Below are 20,563 nucleotides of genomic sequence, written 5' to 3'. Positions count from 1 at the left end.
TGTCAAAATTTAAAGCTATGGCTGTGCAAGTCAATTCCCATTTAGAATAAACTGCTTTTGATTTAGTGTTTCCATTTTTGTGATAATACCTGGAGCCTTTTTAAGTTCCCTGAAAAACAAATATTTGATTTCCTTTCCAACATATAATAAAAGAGCAATCAGGAGGCAAAAGCAAAGTGTAGTGAGGTCCTCCAAGGCTCATTTATGAATCATAAAAGGCTTGATAATATTAAATACCAATTGCAATGCCAAGGCAGCAAGCTGGGAAGCATTCAGACAGCTGGAAATCTGTGGCATCGTGAGTCTTCTTAAAAATAATGTAAAATACTGAATTAGATTCCAACAGACTTCCCATTTTACTATAGTTGTTTTCTAAGCTGAAACAGAATTTCTTTCTCATTCCGGTTTTTTAAGAAAACCTGTCAAATGATCAAGTTTTGTTTACTTCTCAAATTTCACAATTGAAGCTACAAAAATGAACATAATTTAAAAAGTAAGCATTTATTGCCCGATGCACTCTTTTACCTACATCAAATGGTTAATTATATTAAAACACAAATCTCTTTAAAGACAAAGAAGTTGTAAAGATGTTTGGCACTTATAAAAGAGCTAAACTTTAAATGTTACTATTTAGATAACTTCTCATAGTCCACACAATTCTAATGGGGTAAAGGAATGGATAATGTGGCTTTAAAAATCTGTTTTTAAATGCCCCTTTTCTCTGATAACATTATAGCACACATTTAGTCAATTATTTGTTTTAAATATAATCATGGTTCAACAGTAATCCTGTAAACTAGCTCATGGGGTTGAATAGACAAAATATAGCAACATTCAAAAACATTGGCACCTTTTTGGATACATTAACCATAATAATAATTTTAATAGTAATAATAATAATAACTACTTTTCTTGAGTATTTCCTATTTGCCACTCAGCACATTAAGGCCTATGCAATGCATTCATGTCCCAACTTAGAGTTTACTTCTCAAATCTGATTTGAAAACCCATTAAGTAGCTCAGTCTTAGAACTGTTTGTATGCTGTTTCTTTAGTTGCAACCCAGGTTAAGTAGCAGTTTTTTGACTAGGGCTCAGGTTTTAAAAAGGAAAAATTTGTATTTATAGGCATGAGATTATCCATCAGTGCCAGGAGCTTTTCATACACTGAAGCATGAGGGGCCTAATATCTACAGAGGGATCTGCATCACTGTCCTGAAGCATTTAAATTTTTCCTACTTCCTGTCATTACGTTTTTCCTTCTGTTGTGTCTCCTCCAAATATACCCAAACTCTGCTGTCTCACTGATGTATTTAACTAAGTTAAAGAAGGCTATAGTCCTGCTCTATTCTCAGATATTAACATTTAATCCACATCTTCTTTTTTTTTTTTTTTTTTGAGACGGAGTCTCGCTCTGTCGCCCAGGCCGGACTGCGGACTGCAGTGGCGCAATCTCGGCTCACTGCAAGCTCCGCTTCCCGGGTTCACGCCATTCTCCTGCCTCAGCCTCCCGAGTAGCTGGGACTACAGGCGCCCGCCACCACGCCCGGCTAATTTTTTGTATTTTTAGTAGAGACGGGGTTTCACCTTGTTAGCCAGGATGGTCTCGATCTCCTGACCTCATGATCCACCCGCCTCGGCCTCCCAAAGTGCTGGGATTACAGGCGTGAGCCACCGCGCCCGGCCAATCCACATCTTCATTCAATGAAGTGAGTATCATTATTCCCATTGTATAAATGATATAAGTCACTCAAGACAGAGTAAGAAACTTTCCCAAAGCTACACAGGAGAGTAAGAGAAAGAGAAAAGTTAGACACACGGTGCCCAAATTTGCACAGTTAAGAAGTAACTGTAGATCTGTTGAATGTGAGTACTCAGTATTCCCTCACACATTTTATCAGCATTATGACAGTAGGTCAGAGATTCACCAGCAGAACACTGGCTTAAGGATATTCTGAAATTTTGCCTCCAGCTGGGATTAGTCTGTGTGAAAGATGAAAGGACAAAGAATTTCAAGTAATAAGGAATGTCTATGATTAAGTGCCAGAGGTAGTAGTTTTATAGGTGTCGAAGAAAGTAGGCTTTTCAGAAGAATAAAATGGCACAAAAAGCTTTTTGGAGTACAGCCCCAGCAGAGAACTCTGGGGATGGACATTAAACAGTTGACAAGAGGAAAGAACTGAGGACTGTGCAAACCATCAGGTGTCAGGGGACTATGAAAAAGAAATTAAAGGCCAACATGAGTACTTGAAATTATATACTGTAATCTTTCAGTATCTCTGCAATGATTTCAGTGAGAAAGCTTTGAGATAACATTGCTGATTAAATGAAAATCTGACTAAAATGTATATATGCATTCCTGGAGATGATATTAAAGGCAGGAAGTATATAATAGAGACATAATAAAATGGCAAACGTATGAGCTACATGGGCGGTGAAAAACTAAAGATGGGACAGATCTGAGATTTATTTTCAACCTGCCCCTACAGAAGATTATGAATGCAGCAAACTGATATGATAAAATAGCATCCTAATTTAGATTCAAATCAGTTTGATAACTTTCAAAAGTTATCAACTTTTTATAGCTAACCAAAAAATTTCAAGTCATCAATCACCAATCATCATAAAAACTCAAAAGATGATCAGCCCAATGGAAAATCTGCTAGGACTGAAAGAGTAGATTATTAGTACATAAAGGAAAAACAAAATAGATTGTTTGCTTCCATATTTTTTCTGTAGTAGGACATATATTATTAACATTTTAAAATGTATCAAACTATGAGTTTCCACAAAATTTATTTTTTCAAGTGTATTTGAAGCCAGGCACAGTGGCTCATGTCGATAATCCCAGTTACTCCAGAGGCTAAGGCAGGAGGATCCCTGGAGTCCAAAAGTTTGAGACTAGCATGAGCAACATAGCAAGACCACATATCTAAAATAATAATAATAATAATAAATAATTAGCTAGGGATGTTAGCATGTCTACCCACAAGGCTGAGGCAGAAGGACTGCTTGAGCCAAGGGCTTCAAGGCTGCAATGAACTATGATTATGCCACTGAACCCTAGTCTAAGTCACAGAAAGATTCCGTCTCTTAAAAATATATAAATATAAGGAGAATAAAATGTATTTGAGAAATGCTGGAGTAAGATCCTCAAAGATTTAAGAAAGAAAATGAATCTCTTCACTTTCAGTCTTACATGTGAAGGAAATCAAAATATTTCACCCCAAAATATGGCTTCCTGGTATAATGAGTATTTTAAGTTAAAAATTCTTGGGAATCGATGATCACTAGGAGAGACTTTTTTTCCTATCTACAAAAAGTCAGAATTTACCTGCCTAGGAGAACAAGTGTTCTTGTTTCCCTCCCTGTAATCTCATTATCCATTACAGGAAAGAAAACAAAAAATCTAACCACATCTGAACAGACCCTTTTGCAAGATAATCATTGTCTTCAAGCATCATTTAAGTTCTAAAAAAAGGAAACTGTTTACAACTTAATTTCTGTTCCGTTGTAATCATTTATTGCCCCTCCATAAAATTTATTCTCTTTGCCTTCTCATAAACTATTTTACCAGGATCCAAGCCCCCATTCTCGTTGTAACCTCAAGATAGTAATATAAGCTTCTGTACTTCTTTGGGAAGTTGAGTTTTCATTCTGAAGGGTCCTGTATATACAAGTTAAATAAATTTGTATGTATTTTCTCTTATTAATTAATCAGCCTCATTATCAGTGATTTTCATCAAAACTTTAGGGGTCAAGAGCTTTGTCCCCTGTATGTGTAATTCAAATTTGCGAAATATCAAACTCTAAGTATAAGAAGGTCCAAAAATGTTTTGATTTTATCTATAATGACTATTTTGAGTTTGTTTTAATATTAAGAGTAATTTTCAAAAAAATAAGGGTGTCCCTGCTTTGTTGTACCCTAAATATTATTTGTTTTGTTTTTCTTTATCTTGCCTATTGTTGATCGAACAGTGAATTTGACTCTCTACTAATGCTTCTCTATGTTTAATTAATCTTAATATAAAACTGCCATTCACAACATATAGGTCATTTAGGTAGGAAAGCACTGGTATATTTGTGACAGCAAAGGATCCAGTTAATAAACTTCACTACTAAAACTTAATACTGATCTCACTGACTATGATTAAATTCAAATTTAATAATTATAGTGCTATAGTCCCTACAGATTTCTCATTGTAATACCATCTAAATGTTTATGTTTTAGCCCTCAACACAAACACTCATAAATACTATAGTAGAAGACAGAACAAGTAAGAAGACACTAAGTTTGGGCTTATTAGTTACATCTCTATTTATTGATTATCTACTATATGTCAGACGCTGTGTTAGAAAATTCCTATATATCATTCCTAATTATTAAAATGATATAACTTATCTCTATCTTATGTTTCAGAAAGTTAAGTTTCAAAGTGTTTAAGGCAGTGTTTTCAAGGCATGCAACTGCATAGTTGAAGAATTAGGATTTGAACTCACCTTTGCCTTACCAAGTGCTCACGAGCACACTATTTTATGGAGCCCTACCGAGTATGGGAAAGTGGAGAAGAGAGGATGATGTTTTCAGGGAAAAGGTCTTTTTTCAAGGACTAACAATACCTAATGCCTCAGAAATTCACTTTCTCCTAATATCTGAGAAATAAAAATAAATCCAAAGCCCCTAAAACAACTGAATGGACCTTTTCCCTGCCCAGGGAACCCCATAGTAACCTTGAAAACTGTATTCTCAGCCATGACAGGAGGCCTCATTATACACCAACCTCTCACTAACTGCCTTTAGACTTTTTTCCCTAAAGAAGACAGCCCTTTCAGAAGACTTCACCACTGAAAACAGAAAACAGCCCTTTCGAAAGACTTCACCAGTGATATCAACCAACCTTGATGCTGCCTTTCCTTATTTTGCCTGTTAGACCACGACCATTGAATGGCTATAGCCATCTTCAGAGAATGCTTAGTAAGGATTTTCATGTCCTGTGCTTCACTTTTTGATGCCATAGGGCTGAAAACTCCACCCTCACACCATGCTAATGCCACCATTTTTGTACATGGAATCCATGGAGAGGCATGTTCATGTTCATGCACAAGTTTCTCCTTTCATAAATATTCATGACTTCTCCTATATCCCATTGGGGAAAATATAATATATATATTCAGCCATCTTGCTTAGCATAAATTCCTGTTCCTTTTGCCCCTCCCTCAAAGTATCTGCTTTTGGCTTCCAACCAGAGACTATGCTTCCCAACCTGTCTGAATGGCCACCGTGCATGCTGCAACCCTTTGTAAGAAACAAAGTCTCCTCTTCTAAATTTATAAATTATACTTTTTAAAAGTTAAGATGTCTATCTGAAGTTGCATCTTCATATTGTACCACCAAGAACCATCTTGTTTAGATCATAATGAATTTGAAAGATCATACCAAACCCTGTATGCTTAAGGTCCTCTTAAGAAAGAGGGATGGAGAATAAGAAGGTGACAAACATGTTATTTCTAAAATAACAAAGACTTGCAATTGCAAGAGCTAATTAAAAATACTAAATACTAATTAAATACTAAATTCTAAAAAAAGGCCTGATTCTTCCAACTGAAAATAAGGAAAGAAACACCCCTCCTCACCCCTTTTTCTTAGAATACTTACTTTAAAAACTCATAGGTCATTTCTCCCTCTCTGTTTAAAAATGTATATAACTCCTTTAAAAGCTAATTAAGCCTCTTGCCAACTTTATGGCCCAGGAAAGCCTTTCTCAAGGACCTGGGAAGTATCTCTTTGAAATGTAATAATCAAGAGAGATAATGTTCCATCTCTCAGTTCCTGTGGAAAATTTAATCTGTTTACATATATAGGGCTATATATCCCTCTTAGATTCTTTACATTTAGTGACAAATACTATCTAGCTTAAATAAAATTATTGAAGGAAATACATGCTTGAAATATATCACTACTCTTTGTAGTTATTTCATATACATCAACAAAAGAGTAAACCTTGTAGCAACATAACAAACTAATAAATCATGAGGGAAGGGACTTACATGATCAATTAGTTCACGAACCATTCCATTCCATTGTCCATTGGCATCATCCTGGGCTCCATATTTCCCATCTTCCACAAGTCTAATTTCATATGTAAAGCCAAGGATTGTAGATAACTCTCTGAGGAGATCAATGCAATAGCCTTCAAATCGATCATTACCATAGAGAGGTTTGTCAGACTTCTTAAAAAGGACATAAGGCTCTTCCTGAAAACATTGAAAAAGAAGAAAAGAGGTAACAGTTAATCATGAAACTCATCATCAGAATTATTGCTTTTCTTAGAAGACAGAAATTTTCTCATTAATTTAGGACAACAGTCAACTTTATTTTCTTCTAATTATAATTAATGAAGTCTAGAATATTAAAAGAAAATTCAGGTTTTATATGAAATAGTAGTGCTTTACAAAAAAAACTTAACTATTGTAATCCCACCATGACTATATAACAAAAATATGGTATATCTTATATCTTATGCCATAAATCTTATTATATATAACCAATAATATGTGATATGTAATATATGCTATATAATACATCATATCCGACATCTAATTTCACCATGATTATAATACCTCAATTTGAATTATATCATTTAATCAATATCTGGTATGCTGTTTCCATGGGATCTATGGATAAAATTAATGAAAAAAATTGCTGACTAATTGCCTACTATGTGCAAAGAACTGGAGTGTGGACTTTTTATATATATAATCACATTTTGTCCCAACAACCATGAAAATTACAACTACTATATTTAATTATAGTTTAAAAAGTAGTAGTTTACTTTAAAATATAGATGAAGAAGGCCAGGCACCATGGCTTGCACCTGTAATCCCAGCACTTTGGGAGGCCAAGGCGGGCAGATCACGAGGTCAGGAGATCAAGACCATCCTGGCTAACACGGTGAAACCCCATCTCTACTAAAAAATACAAAAAAAATTAGCTGGGCGTAGTGGCGGGCGCCTGTAGTCCCAGCTATTCAGGAGGCTGAGGCAGGAGAATGGCGTGAACCCGGGAGGCGGAGCTTGCACTGAGCCAAGATTGCTCACTGCACTCAAGTCTGGGTGACAGAGTGAGACTCCGTCTCAAAAAAAAAAAAAAAAAAAGAAAAAAAAATAGAGAGAGAGAGAGGAAGAAAGTGATCTTTATCAAGTGCTTATGCATTCATCCAACATAATTTTATGGAGCACCTATTGTGAGCCAGCCCTCCTCTATATAAATAGAAATCCTTGAGCCATGAAGTTCATGATAAAGAGAAGAAAACAGTTAACAAATGCCTAAACAAATACAACACATATTATCAGATCCTCCTAAGTGGTATAAAAACATAAAATAGGTCAATAGAAAAGAAAACAACTGCAAGGTACTCGGTAAGATAAGAGAAGACAAAATTAAGTAATTTCCTGAAAGTCTTTTCAGAGAAGGTAAGAGACGAAGTATAATCCAACAGATGAGAAAGAGTCTAGACACTTGAAACTCTGAAAACAGAGTATTTCAAGCCAAGGACACAGCATGGTAAAAAGCCCTGAGACCAACATAATATTGGAGTGTTTCAGGAAGAGGATAATTGGCAACAGTGTGACAGAAGTCACATCCAGTAAGTGAGTGAGTTGGTTGAACAAGATCTGAATAAAAAAGGGGTGAGGAGCCAATTTTTGTGAGGCTCTGCAAATTAGGCCCTATGAGAAATTTGTATGTTTAACTAAGTGCAAAAAGATTCCATGCATTAGCACATTTTATCGAAGGCACTTGCACATGGTATGGCAGACTGTGCTGCTATGAATAAACCAAGGTGCAACAATTGGTTCTGCTATTCACTATTTGCTTATGGGCAAAGCCCCTGTTATCTTAGAGGAAGCTATTACAGAGTGAGAAAAGTTAGGATACTCCCATGCCAGTCCACCTAGGAATGTGCTCACCCTCTTCCCCAACCCCTGGAGAACAACAGTCATCCCATGAGAGCTATCCTAAAGGAGTTTTAGACATGACAGCCATGTGTCAGCTTGCCCACACTCAACTAAGAAATAATCAAGATTATTTTCATCTTCCTTCCCATCTCTGTGGACTTACCTTATCTCTATACAGTTGTATGCACCCTGCAGCCTCACCTCCTGTTATTCTGACCCTTTCTAAACACTGCCACTGTGTGTTAGAGAAGTCCTGGTCAGAGATTGGCACGTTGTTTCGTATCTTCACCTGATTTTTAGAATGACCATTTTATCTCCCTGCTCTGCTGGACTGTACCCTGATGACATTGCTTAGCCTTCAGCTCTCTTTCCTACAGACTATTTTCATTTACCTCCACATCCCTTGGAGACAGAGGCACATTTGGTGTTTTCCCTGCCCCTCATTGCTGTCCCCACACCATTTTTTCCCCTGCCTTGTGCAGTAACTACTGCTCCTCTGAGACTCATTCCACCCTGCTAGACCAGGCTCTCTCTCTCTACAATTGCTGTCATTCAATGAAATCTGGTTCAAAAGTTTTATTAAGTAGGAAGAGAAGCCTTTACTTTTCAAATATTTGACTACTGGATGGTAATTTTGCTCTTTTTTCAAATTCTTATTATTCTCGGTATATTCAAAATCCACCTACATGAAGTATCCAATACAGCTGATCTCTTAATTCTTTTATTTACTCATTACCAAATTATTTCCCTCATTGAAGTCTAGTCTCTCTTCCGCATGGTCAAAACTGCAGCCTGCATTTGTCAGAAAATTAGTTAGGATTTCTAACAACCCACTCATCCAACTCATTGTTTAATCACACCCACGCCTGTGCTCTTCGATCACATAAAGACCCCCAATTCAGTGAACTCACGTTTCCCTACTATTTCTCAATCCTCTCCTGACTTCACTTCATTATCTGGCCCCAAATTCCATGGTCCATTATTATAATTCCTCAGTTAAATGTTTATGTTCCTAAAATTAGTTATGAGCTCTAACCTTTTTTCTTAAATTTTATTCCTACTTTTTTCTGATCCACACACATCAAATTCAATAACATCTTTATCCTGATGACCTCAAAATTTATATATTAGGCCCACACTTCTTGCAAGTCTTAGGCACACGTATCCAATAGCACTTGTCAGCATGATTTTATGTCTCATAGACATTATATTACAGCTCACATTTAACATGTCCCAAATATAATTCTTGTTTTCCCCAAAACTTTTACATGTTTTCAGTTTTCTCTGCTTTTAGAAAATGGCACCATCGTTTACTCTGCTACTCAAACTGATTTGTGAGTCATCATCTTTGCTTCCCTTTCTTTTAGCTCATTTGATACAGAGAAACACAAGGGATCTTACTGAAGGATACATTGAATTACCTCCCCACTACTACTTGAAATCATCACATAGATTCCCAATGTGTTTAGAATAACATTCAACATCATTGCCATGGGCCCTAAAACCTGTTGTTCTACCACTTGCTCTCATCTTGGTGAAAGGCTTCACAACTCACAAAACTGATTAAGTCCAAAGCCAGGCAATCATTCTCAAATTCTGTTTTATCCTTTGTAAATCCTGCAAATTCTCCCCTCAAAATATATACTGATTCTACTAATTTCTTTACACTGTCCCCTGCTAGAATCATGGCTCATGTAGCCTTTATTTCTTATCTGAATTCCTATTGTAACTACATCTTTTACTTTCCATTTCTGCCCCCCCTCAGTCCATTCTCCCCAGAAAGTCGTAGCAATCTTGTAAAAACTAAATCTGCTTTTATTGTGCATTTGCTTAAAACCCAACAGTGGCTTTTCATTAAAACTGGAATAAAATAAAAACTGTTTATGCTGGTCTTCAAGGCCTATTCTCTTTGAACTTAGCTTCTATTCCCTCTCTTTCTCATTTTATTCCAGGCATTGGCCTTCATTTTGGTCTTCAAACTTGCCAGATTTGTTTCTAACTCCACGTCTTGGCTCTTTGCACTGCCTTTTTATTGATTGATTGATTGATTGATTTTTCTGACAGGGAAGATCTATCTTAAGATCTTCACATGGTTGTTTTCTCGTCATTTAACCCTATGCTCAAGATTCACCACTTCAAAGAAACCGCATATATATGTTACCTCTTTCCTCTAAGGTACTCTCCATTATTCTACCCTGCTTTGTTTTGCTCATAGCACTCATCCCATCTGAAGTTTTGTTTATTTATCTTTTGATGTATGTGCAATTCTTTCTTCCCCTATTATGACATAAACCCATGAGTATAGAGGAATTAGAGATTATGTTCATTAATTTATCTCAGTGCATAGAAGAAAATGACTGGCAAGCCGTTGGTGCTCAAGGCACATGTGTTAAATGAATAAAATATTCATCATAAAGGCTTAAAACTTACCTTTCTCTCTCCAACTCTATTTTCTTTTCCTTAAGGTCTAGATATCCTGTTTTCTCCCAGATTCAAAAATACAAAGCTATTTTCCATCTCAAAGCCCTTTACCTGTTGTTTTATCTGTCTATAATGCTCTTCAAATGGTGAGCTCTTTTGCTTCCTTTAAGGCTCAAGTTAAATATAAAATCTTTCCTTTGGTTCTATCTAAAGAGAATCTTCTCTGTTATTATCTATCTCATTATTTATTTTCTCACAGTACTTAAGTCATTTTCAATTGTTTTACTTGTTGGCTTACTATTGGGTTTTTGTCTCACTCTCCTAAAATATAACATTTATATGAACTCATTATAATATCTTCCATGCCTAATACAATGCCTAGCATATAGTAGGTGCCCAGTAAATACTGATTGGATAAATTATTGATAAATTAGTTACTTCTATAACTCAATTTTCTAATTTCTAAATATATTTAACAATACATTTAAAGTTGTTAGGGGAATTAATTAAAAAAATCCTGGCAAAAATCAGCTTCTTAACATAATTTCATTATTTCAGCTTCCCAATAATTTTTCATGATTCTTTTTTTTTAAGTGATAGACTTAGGCTGGGCGGCACAGCTTACACCTGTAATCACAACAGTTTGGGAGGTCGAGGTGGGTGAATCACATGAGGTCAGAAGTTTGAGACCAGCCTGGCCAACATGGTGAAACTCCATCTCTACTAAAAATATAAAACTTAGCCGGGTGTGGTGGCAGGTGCCTGTAGTCCCAGCTACTTGGGACACTGAGGCAGAAGAAGCTCTTGAACCTGGGAGGTGGAGGTTGCAGTGAGCCGAGATTGTGCCATTGCACTCCAGCCTAGGCAACAGAACAAGACTGTCTCAAATTAATTAATTAATTAATAGACTTAATTTTTCTAGCAATTTTAGGTTCACAGCAAAACTGAGCAGAAGGTACAGACATTTCACATATCTCCCTACCCCTCCTAGAGGCCTAGTTTACCCTACTATCAACATCCAGCACCAAATCAGTACATGTTCACAACAGACGAACATTCACTGGCACATCATTACCACTCCCAGTCCATAGTTTACCTTATGGGCACATTCTTGGTGTTGTCTATTTTATGAGTTTTGACAAATGTATAATGGCATGCATCCACCATTGTAGTATCAATACAAAATAGTTTCAATGCCCTAAATATTCTCTGTGCTTTTACATATTCATTCCTTTCCCCACTCTAACTCCTGGCAACCGTTAATCTTTTTAGTAGCTCCAGAGTTTCGCCTTTTCCAGAATGTCACATAGTTGGAATGTGGCCTTTTCAGATTGTTTTCTTTCACTTGGTAATAAGCATTTAAGTTTCCTCCATGTATTTTCATGGCTTGATAGCTCATTTCTGTTTTCTGCTGAATAATATTACATAGTGTGAATATACCACAGTTTATTTGTCCACTCACCCACTGGAGAAAATTTTGGTGGCTTCCAAGTCTGGGCAATTATAAATAAAGTTGCTATAAACATCCATGTGCTGGTTTTTGTGTGGACATAAGTTTTTGGTTTATTTGGGTAAATATCAAGGTGGATGACTGCAAGATCATATGGTAAGAGTATGCTTAGTTTTGAAAGAAACTGCCAAACTGTCTTCTAAAGTGGCAGCCCTGTTTTCTATTCCCACCAATAAGAAATGAGAGGCTTTGTTGCTCCACATTCTTCCTAGCATTTGGTGTTGTCAGTGTTCTGGATTTTGGCCATTCTTGAGGGTATACGGTGATGTCTCATTGTTGTTTTAATTTGTAATTCCCTAATGCCATATGATGTTAAGCATTTTTTCATATGTTTCAATGCAGTCTTATTGGGACTATTTTCATTTGACATTTAAATTTTCAAAGAGGTTAAATAATTTTCCCAGGTCACATAGCTAAGAAGAGGTAAAGAACAACTAAAAGAGGCAACAAAATAAGAGGTTTGAACCTAGGTTTTTCAACTTCCACAATACCTACTTTTCCCACTATTTTAGGTTGCTTTCTACATCGTAATATCGTCTGGGAGAAAACCGTATATGTTGGATTTTTAAATTGAATCAGATGGGAATCAGAAATTAATCTGTTAACTACATCCAAAGCTACATATTTGAGCTTAACATAAGTAAAAGAACAGTTAGGATCTTGTCTGATTTTTATGTAACATTTGATCACATATAAACTTTATTCCCCAGGGGTACACAAAGTACTGCAAATGTAACAGATGTAGTGCCCTTCCACCCAAGAGGTTATCATACCCTTTTGCCTCACTACTCTTCCTGGCCTGCTAGTCTTTCAAGTAGATAACACATTTCCATAGATCATAGTTTATATGCCCTTGTTATATTAGAAAGGGAAGAAGCCCTGTGGTGAAACAGCTTTCTGGTACTGAGTATTCACTTTTCAGACATATTTAGGTGTTTCTTTTTCTGGTGCTCCTGCAACAACTTTTGAATACTTTTACCATAGCATTTATCATACCAAGTAGTAGGTGATGATTTATATGTAAGCCTTCTGAACTAGACTTGAGCGATTTACTCGGCAAAATGGTTACTTAATTTTGCTTCAAAAGCACCAAACATCCCCTGGCTCATAGCAGGCTTACCAATAAAATGACTGCTGAAATGAATTGAATAGAAACGAATTGTTCTGGTCAACCGGGGAAGCCAGGGAAACCTGAACTTGAAGGAAAAAAATTGAGACAGGTAAGTTCCACTATGAGGCTCGGGCATGATGGTAACAAATCCTCAAGTCACTAACCCATGTGTAGAGGGTTAAGGACTTGAGGAGAATATCATATTCCCTTGCAGAGTAGGGGAAAGACTGAGAATACAGGGTTGGTGGAATGGGAAAAAAATAAAGCATGTAGGTATAGTAAATTAGCTCTATTGATTTCATACTTTTGTTTCATTTAGGTTATGATTTTCAAATACAGAGTTTGTTTTGTTTTGTTTTGTTTTACTTAAAAGGAACAAAGATCGACAATTTGCCAATCCCCATGACTAAGCAATAGTAATGTTTAACATTTCCCAAGCACTTACTATGTGCCAAACCCTGTTCTAAATGCTTTACTTGGATTATTTCAATTGTATTCTCCATAACAACTACATGAGGTCAGTAATATTATATCTATTATGAAAAAACTGAGGGAAAGGGTGTTAAGATTTTTTTTTTTTTTTTTTGCCCATAGTCAACAGCCAGTATACAACTCAGCCAGGCTGACTGCTGGACCACTTACCCATCCCTCCCATACTTCCTTGATTAAATAATTCTTACTGACCATTTCCAAACTCCATGTGAATATAAAATTGTAAATAGTTCATTACATAATTAAACACCTGTTGTATGACTTTTTTTTTTTTTAGTTAACTGGGATTAGCCACTGGGCTATATTGTATGCAAAATGGTATTAATTATTGAACAATGCCATCAAGACAACTTTATGGAAGAAAATAAATAGTAAATATAAAATACACAAAATTCATTTTCTACCTGACAAATCATCTCATTTCTAAATAAAAGCACACCTTTTTAACATAAAGTATTTTAAGAATTTATAAAAATAACATCTATTAAACTAATCAGATTTAGGTAGCAACATATGACTATCTAAAAATGCTTTTTCTTCTGTTTGCATTGTTAAATTATAATTGTCTCTATTTTAAATTAAATTATATTCCTAAGTACTTTTTATTTATTTTTCACAGAAACTGACTTGAACACTGGATAAAATATAATCAAAGTTGGTGTTAGGAGTCTGTGAAGCATATGAGGGATATATGTGTGCAATAAGTGAAAACAGCAATATAATTGTAAAAGTTATTAGGCTATTTAAATCTTATTACTCTAACTTGTCCTACTAGCCTCCTACCTGTTAATTTGATTTCCTTCACCTAAAGCTAATAAGAAAACTTCTGTCATAGGCAAATAAATTTGTTGATCCCTCTGAGATTAAAAAACCTACTTAGATATATGTCTTCAACAGGTTTGCACATCACTAGAAAAAAATATTTGTGGTCTGAGTGCATCTTTTTAGTATTTATGGATCTCCACAATGTCAAATATTACTCTTCCCATATTTAATTCTGATAAGTAAGATGCAGTTTTCTTGCTTTGATTCCTATCTCCAGCTACACTGTGTCATGGGATAGTTTTACATCAAGTTATGACTCTCCTTTAAGCTCTCTTTCTCTGTTTCACACGGTACAAGGATAAATAATAACCTCACGTAAGAGAAGAAAAATGGTACCAAAAGCAATTACTGCATCACATACCAAGTTCATTGAATAATATGATAAAACTCTCCTGGGCAACTTAACTGATTTCTCATATAGTCTTAAATCTCCACATCAGCATTTGCTAGAGGTAAAGGCACTTCATTCCACTGGCATCTGTAATAAGGATTTGTCAGCATTTCTACTATCAACCCCAGTTTTAAGGAACCCAATAACTCATATATTTTTATCTGCATTAGACTGGGAGTTGGCACAGAATGAATCCAAAATGAAGTTCTGAAAAAGTAAAATACATTTTAAGGTTGAGGGTATAAAAATGTTTTATTTAAATATAATAAAACTTTTAATAATGTTTAAAGCATATAACTCATGTATCTCTCAGCTCTTATCTAGGGCTCAATTATCTTTTTCATATGTTAACCCTGAGATATCAGTGTCTTACTCATGCTACTTAAAACATAGGGACATTAAAATGTAAATTAATTTTAATGTGATATGTATAAAATATCCCCTGCTATTACAATGATAAGAATAAATAAACCAATGTATTTACCCAAGCATACACTGAACTCTTACTCTGTCCCAACACTCTTCCAGGTGCTAGGTATACAACACTGAACAATGAAAAACAAATCAAAACAACATAGAAAAATTCCTGCCCTTATGAAACTCCCAATCTAGTGGTGAATTTGAAATCCCTACCAATTATATATTATCCTGTATTTATTTACACGTCTACTTTGCTTCATTAGTTATCAGAAGTGGAATGCAGAATGTTCTCACAGGCTACGTTTTTGAGAAACAGGGACATGTGTCTTGTTTTAGAGCATTGTGGTGAATCTCAGAACACAGGATGCTGTAGCCCACAAATCATTTATTTTGAAAAATAGACAGGTATATTCAGGTAACCCCAGTCTTGTTCTTGAATTTATCCTTATGACTAAAAAACTTGTAAAGTTTATTTGTGGCAACAGCTGAAATTCCAGTTTCTTAAAGATATCAATGCATTTAGAAAATATTACCTAATGGTGCCTTTTTTTTTCCTTAATGAACATAGGGTTGACCAAAAAAAAAAAAAAAAAAAAAAAAAACCCTCCTTTTTTTAAATAGCATCCCTATGGGCCAAATGAAAAAGACATAATGGTTACAAAAAAATAATCTAAGATTAAAGTAATATTACGGCAATTGAAACAAAACTGAGCAGTTCATATTTTCCTGAAAATAATTTATTTCCTTCTATTTTCTGAGCAGTGTGTTCAGTCTCTATATCTTATTACTGCCCTCTTACTGAAGGCATTAAATCATAACTAGTAAGAGGGCAATCTAGTTTTTATAGAGTATGGAAATCAAGGCAGATGTTAAGTTGATTGAAAGTAGAAGGCTGATGAATGGGCAACAGAAATAGTGGAACAATTATGCTTTTCAGGAAGGTGAGTTGGTTCATTATAACTATCAGACTTACACCTTAACAACAATAAAATGAAACAGACCTCAACATATTTCCCCCTAAGGGCTCAAGAGGTGCTCAGGATAATGCAGAGGGGACAGTCACACTTTTAAAAGGGAGATTAAGGATGAAAGGTATTACTATGGACAGCAATGTTAAGGAGATGGAACAAAGGATAACCCTCTGCCCTTTTTCGTTGGGTTAGTTTTGGTTTGGGGGTTTTTCTTTGTTTCCCTTTCTACCTAGACCATGCTTTACTTGAATTTTCCCAAATCTTCACTTGCAGTCCTCTCATCCAAGCACAGAGGATAAACATTCGGAAAGTCTGCTTTACTAGATAGTATAAGGCAGCAAGTTTTAGTTACCTGTTTTAACATTCTTTTCAACCCTGTTTAATATTATTTTTATTTGATTTCAGGCATCTAAACTAAAAATTTTTATTAGATAAAATTTTCATGGATAGGTTTACTTTTATTATGGGTAAAAGGTATTCTTCTCAAATGATGAAAAACACCCAAGAAATATAACTAATGCTTACAAAGAAATACAAGCAGAATAAAGGAAGATTTTCAGCAAAGATAAATTTTTCTCTCACAAAAATGTTATCAACTCATTACTCTAATAAGCAACACTCTTGGGTAGATTTAGCACACATACAGTATGATTTGATCAAGGGATGGGGGACAGCTTATAAACACCATGAGAATGATCCCCAGTAGTAATATATGTGTTTGATTGGCATGTTTATTGATAATTGACTACCGCCACTCCTGTATTTCCATAGTAACCTCTAAGTGAAAAGAGCAACTCCAAAGATGATCAATAAATTACCATGATTTTCTAAATTTTTATTTGAAGTTTAACAAGATGCATGTAGATATCTATATTGGAATACCTCGTGTTAAAATATAAATATTTTGGATGTATTCATTCATCCATTCATCCACCAATTTAGTCATTAATACATTCATGAAACAAATGTTTTTATGTAAATTCTGAATATAGATATGTAGACTAGAGGTTCAAATTTTTTCCTTTAAAGACCAAATAGTAAATATTTTTGGCTTTATGAACTATATAGTCACAACTATTCAATTCTGTCATTATAGTGTGAAAGCAGCCATAGAAGCAGTTGATAAACTGGCAAACCATCAGAATCAATTTTTAAATAACTCTAGAATTGAATAAAAACTTACAACGACAAGGAAATGTTTAGTGAAGGGAAAAACTACAGAATCTTGGTTGGAGAGCTCTGTGGCATATTAATTTACCCTGTTGATACTATTTGATACTCCTCAGCTCCACAACAGTCTTGAAGATAGTAGCCTGCATTCCTGATGCAGGTCATACACACCATAGGAAACCATATGGACCTTATTCTTACAGAATTGTTACGTATTTTAACCTGTGTGGTGGCTCCCAGAGGGATGGGCTCAAGGACTTGCCATTGGTTCATCTGCATAAGGAGCTTCCCTAAGGCTGAAGCTGCTTCACACGTGGTGTTTTTTGTAAGCATTTAAAGGCAAATATATTACCTGCCACCTGGTGGGTAAGAGGGAAAAGTAGGGGCAAGAAATAGATTGACCTGAAAGCCTGAGACAGAAAGACTAGGGAGGAAATACTTGGGGGCACTAAGAGCTGGGACAAGCTCCCGTATAGTCAAGGGAATCTAGCAGTCCATGCACATAACCAGTGGGGGATGTATGCTCAGAAAGGACCTGACAAGACCCTAAGCCCTTACCTCTGGCTAGATTCAGGCTCCATGCAAGCAGGAAGGAAGAATAGGGCAGAATTGTAAACTGCCTGGCTAAACAGTAAAGGAGTGCCCCAATATACAACCAAACTACAAAGACGGGAAGTTTGGTTTTGTTTCTTGTTGTTTTGTTCCAGGAGTTTAAGGAAATCTCTGTCAAGTTACTAAGGTACTACTAACCTAACAATCACACATTTCAGTGGCCACCCAGAACAAAAAATACAGACTTTACAAAATTAATTTAGCAAGGTCACTAAACAACAAAGAACTACAATAACCAGTAAACAAAAAACCCTGGGTGAGGGGAATATCTTATTTCTAGAGTTGCAATATTATACTGTTTAAAATGCCCATTTTTTAACCAAAAAAAAGTGAAAAATACAAACAAGAAAGTACAGCCCATTGACAGGAACAAAGAAATTAATAGAAACTGGCCTTGAGAGAAACCAATGAGTTGCAGAGGAAATTAGAAGGGAAATTAGAAAATGCTCTGTGATGAATGAAAACAAAAGCAGAACATATTAAAACTCAATGGATACAGTGAAAGCAGTCCCTCAAAGGGAATTTACAGCTGTATATATCTACATTAAAAAGGAAGAAAAATCTCAAATAAGTAACATAAATTTACACCATAGAAACCTAGAAGAATAAGATCAAACTAAACCTGCAGGTAGGAAGAAAAGAAGAAAGATTACCTCAGAGATAATAAAAGAGAGAACAGAAAAAAAAAATAGAGAGAAGCAATGGAACCAAAATTTGATTATTTGAAAAGATGAACAAAATTAACAAATCTTTAGCTAGACCAATCAAGAAAAAAGTAATAGCAAAAAAAATCAGATGAAAAAAGAGGGCCTTTGCTACCAATTTTGTAGATATAAAAAGTTTACAAGAGAATCATAGAAATAATTACACATCAAAAATTAGACTACCCCAATGAAATAGACAAATTTCTACAGAGACACTGCTATCAAAACTTCCTCAAATAGAAATAAAAATCTGAATATATCTAGAGAAAATAAAGAGATTGAACCAGTCATCCAGAACCTCCAAAGAAAATCCCAGAACCAAATAACTTCACTGATGAATTCCATCATCATTTAAAGAAAATTCAACACCAATCCTTCTCAAACTCTTCCAAATAATAAAACAGGAGGGAACACCTTCTTGTCCATTCTTTCAGGCCAACACTACCCTGATACTAAACCAGAAAAGACTTCACAATAAAAGAAAACTACATACCAATGTCCCTTAAGAATACAGATGTAAAACTTCTCAACAAAATAATGAGAATCATCTCTTGAACAAAGGGCATTGGGACAACTAAAAATCTACATGTAAATGAATGAAGTTGATACTTACCTCACATAGTACACAAAAAATTAATCCAAAGTTATCATGATCTAAATGTAAAAGATAAAACTATAAAACTCTCACAATAAAATATATAGGTAAGACTTCATGATTTTGGATTTGGCAATGGATTTTTTGATATGACACCAAAAATACAATCAACAAAAAATATATAGATAAATTGGACATTATCATAAGTGAAAACTTTTGTGTATGAAAGGACATTGTCAAACAAATGAAAAGACAAACTAAAGAATGGGAGAAAATATTGTGAATCATATAACTGATAATATTCTACTATTCAGAATATATAAAGAACTCCTACAACAACAACAACAAAAAAAAAACAATGCTGTTTAAAAATGGGCACAGAGCTTGAATAGATATTTCTCCAAAGAAGACATATAGATGTCAACAAGCACACAGAAACATGCTCAACATCATTAGTCATTAGGGAAATGCAAATCTAAACCGCAGTAAGATACCACTTCACACCTACCAGGATGTTTTATAATTTTAAAAATGAAAGTAACAAGTTGGTGAGGATATAGAGAAAATAGAACCTTCATACATTTGCTAGTGAGAAAGTGAAATTGTGCAGCTGCTATAAAAAAAATATTGGCAGCTCCTCAAAAAGTTAAATATGGAATTACCATAAAACTCAGCAATGCTATTCTTAGGTATATACCCAAAAAGATTAAAAATTGGTGTTTAAACAAAAACTGTGAACCAATGTGCATAGCAGAACTTTTCACAATAGCCAAATTTTGGAGATAAACTGAATGCCAATCAGTGGTTTCACAGATAAACTAAATGATGAATATGCATAAAATGGAATATCATTTAATCATAAAAGTATTGAAGTATTGATACATGTTACAGCATGGATGAACCTTGAAAATATTATGCTAAGTGAAAGCAGGCAGACACAAAAAGCCACACAGTACATGATTCTAGTCACCCAGAAATATCCAGAGTACGCAAACCATAGAAAGAGAAAGCAGATAGGCTATTGCCAGGGCCTCATGGGTAAAAACAAATGCAAGGCTGGGCACAGTAGCTAACACCTGTAATCTCAGTGCTTTGGGATGCTATGCAGGGAGAACTGTTTGAGGCCAGGACCCACTTGGGCAACATAGCGAGACCCCATCTGTACAAAATAAAAATATTAGCCAGGCCTGGTGGTGTGTGCTTGCAGTCCTAGCTACTTGGGAGGCTGAAGTGGGAGGACTGCTTGAGCCAGGAGTTGGAGGTTGCAGTCAGCTATGATAGCACCACTACTCTCCAGCTTTGGTGACAGAGAATGGGACCCTGTCTCAAAACGACAACAACAACAACAACAACAACAACAAACAAACAATGAACGCAGAATAAATGA

The 20,563-nt window shown here is 35.3% G+C and overlaps 1 protein-coding gene across 8 annotated transcripts in view; it reads right to left on the bottom strand.

Moving 5' to 3' along the window:
- Positions 1-20,563, bottom strand: part of GRIK2 (glutamate ionotropic receptor kainate type subunit 2) — a 676,376-nt gene that overhangs the window by 204,544 nt on the left and 451,269 nt on the right. For all 8 annotated transcript variants that reach the window (XM_047418681.1, NM_021956.5, XM_047418682.1 and 5 more), the window contains one exon: positions 6,047-6,253. In XM_047418681.1, the coding sequence (XP_047274637.1) occupies positions 6,047-6,253 (207 nt within the window). The remainder of the gene's footprint in view (positions 1-6,046; positions 6,254-20,563) is intronic.

The sequence above is a fragment of the Homo sapiens genome, chromosome 6 (genome assembly GCF_000001405.40).
Source record: "Homo sapiens chromosome 6, GRCh38.p14 Primary Assembly".
In the NCBI taxonomy this organism is placed as follows: Eukaryota; Metazoa; Chordata; class Mammalia; order Primates; family Hominidae; genus Homo; species Homo sapiens.
Note: the sequence above shows the minus strand (reverse complement) of the source record. Positions and strands in the feature narration are given on the sequence as shown.